Raw genomic sequence first — 2,932 nt, forward strand, 5'->3', positions numbered from 1 at the left:
ATCTGCCCACCTCAGCCTCCCAAAGTGCTGGGATTATAGGCATGAGAGACCGCACCCAGCCAAGCCAACCTTTATTTAGTTATTTTAAAAAAATTTTTAATAATTGACATAAATACATTTATTTATTGAGTCAATTTGTCCAGGTAAGTACTGGGGAAGCTTCATAAGTTTTGAGGATATTTTTATACATAAATATATCAAACATGAGAGTGCTTGCTGTATAACAGATGCTCCGTAATGCAGAAATATTTGTGTTAAAATTAGTTTGTAACTTTGATTCGGAAATTAAAAATACCATTGGGCCAGGTGCGATGGCTCACACCTATAATCCCAGCACTTTGGAGGTTCGAGGCGGGCAGATAACAGGATCAGGAGATCAAGACCATCCTGGCTAACACGGTGAAACCCCGTCTCCACTAAAAATACAAAAAAATTAGCCAGGTGTGGTAGTGGATGCCTGTAGTCCCAGCTACTCAGGATGCTGAGGCAGGAGAATGGTGTGAATCCAGGAGGCAGAGCTTGCAGTAAGCCCATATGGCGCCACTGCACTCCAGCCTGGGTGACAGAGCGAGACTCCGTCTCAAAGAAAAAAAAAAAGAAAAAATATTGGCTGGGCATGGTGGCTCATGCCTGTAATCCCAACACTTTGGGAGGCCGAGGTGGGTAGATTGCCTGAGGTCAGGAGTTCAAGACCAGCCTGGCTAACATGGTGAAACCCCAGCACTACAAAAATACAAAAATTAGCCAGGCATGATGGCAGGTGCCTGTAACTCCAGCTACTTGGAAGGCTGAGACATGAGAATTGCTTGAATGAGGGAGGCAGAGGTTGCAGTGAGCCGAGATCACGCCATTGCACTCCAGCCTGGGCGACAGAGCGAGACTTTTGTCTCAAAAAAAAAAAAAATACAAACAAAATAAAATATCAATGCTGAAGATATAACATTGATTTTTTTCATGTGGAGATGACACTTTTTTTCAGGCTTCAAAGCTGAATCTTGCTGAATTTAAAGAGAAATTCTGCTGCTTTAATTTCCTAATTATCTTGATTTTTTTTCACTTTTTATGTGTATTCTAACTATGTATGCATCACAGCCCTTTTTCTTCTTGCTCTGTTATGGCTACAGTTTTCTCTCTGTTATCTCCATGCCATGTCATTTCACATGGTACTTTGTAGGTTCTGAGGAGAAAGTTGGTACTTTTTAATGCATTGAAAAATTGGTTTTAACTAGAGAGTTTGCTTATCAATATAACTTTTAGATTAATTAAAATAAAAGACATACACTTTCCACAAGAATGTATCAGCATAGAATATATCATATATCAGTAAGAAGAATATATCAGTTAGCATGGTTTTGTTTGTTTATAAAAGAAAAACCTTATTAGATTCTCACACAAAGAGTGAAAAATATAGTGTGCTAAAATATATATCTTAGAAATTTTATTTTTGAGCAAGTTGACTGCAAGTGAACAATTTCGAATTTAATTTTATAATATAGCATAACTTATGTTTCTATACAGTATCTTCAACTTTTAAGTGTGAATGTTAAAGTTGGCAAAATAATAAAATGATCTCTGGATTTGAAATTTGATGTAATTTTTTTTTCATGTTGCTATTACAATTTGGAGGAATTTCTCACTTTTTTTCCTAGATTGCAGTTTTTACTCTTTGTCACCTAACTGTAGTCAACTCCCTGGTCATTTTCTCTGGAAAACTTTTGGAGAACATGGCTGCTTTTGGATTAAAATATTTCCCATTATTTTGCATAAAAAACGAGTTTACTGTGTTCACAGAGTGGCTAGTCATGGGACCATAAGCAACAGCTCCAACTTTTAGTGTTTTTCATACTGTTACCATCAACAACAGAAACTCCAGGTACCCCATGCTCGAAGTAAAAGCCCTAACGTACATTGGCTCTTCCCATACACTCTGCTGGGTCCAGAAAATGCTGTTAAATACTAGAGTTTCTAAGCTGGGCATGGTGGCTCATGCCTGTAATCCCAGCACTTTGGAAGGCTGAAGTGGGTGGATCACCTGAGGTCAGGAGTTTGACACCAGCCTGGCCAACATGGCAAAACCCCATCTTTACCAAAAATAGAAAAATTAACTGGGTATGGTGGTGGGCACCTGTACTTGGGAGGCTGAGGCAGAAGAATCCCTTGAATCCGGGAGGCGGAGGTTGCGTTGAGCCAAGATCGTGCCATTGTACTCCACTCTGTCTCTAAATAAATAAATAAAATAAATAAATATCAGAGTTCCTATGGTCATGGCTGACAAACTAAGTGACAAAAACTAATTTTGATACTATTCAGCTGTTTATGACAAAGACAGTATTTGAAACATTGTTATATGTGTGTGTATATATATATACATATGTATATAACATATATATAATTTTTAGACAAGAGTCCTGCTCTGTCACCCAGGCTGAAGTGCAGTGGCATAGTCTCAGCTTACTAAAACTTCCACATTTCAGGTTCAAGCAATTCTCAAGCCTCAACCTCTCGAGTAGCTGGGATTACAGGTTGGTGGCACCATGCCCAGCTACTTTTTCTATTTTTCATAGAGATGGGGTTTCTTCATGTTGGCCAGGCTGGTCTTGAACTCTTGATCTCAAGCGATTCACCCACCTTGGCCTCCCAAATTGCTGGAATTACAGGTGTGAGCCACTGCACCCATTTAATTATATATATATTATATATATGTAATATAATATATATATTATATATATGTAATATAATATATATATTATATATATGTAATATAATATATATGTAATATAATATATATATTATATATATGTAATATAATATATATATTATATATATGTAATATAATATATATATTATATATATGTAATATAATATATATATTATATATGTAATATAATATATAATATATGTAATATAATATATATTATATATGTAATATAAT

The 2,932-nt window shown here is 36.0% G+C and overlaps 1 pseudogene; it reads left to right on the forward strand.

Annotated features, from left to right (window-relative positions):
- On the forward strand, positions 1,566–1,967 carry VN1R88P (vomeronasal 1 receptor 88 pseudogene; annotated as a pseudogene).

This window comes from Homo sapiens, chromosome 19, assembly GCF_000001405.40.
Source record: "Homo sapiens chromosome 19, GRCh38.p14 Primary Assembly".
In the NCBI taxonomy this organism is placed as follows: domain Eukaryota; kingdom Metazoa; phylum Chordata; class Mammalia; order Primates; family Hominidae; genus Homo; species Homo sapiens.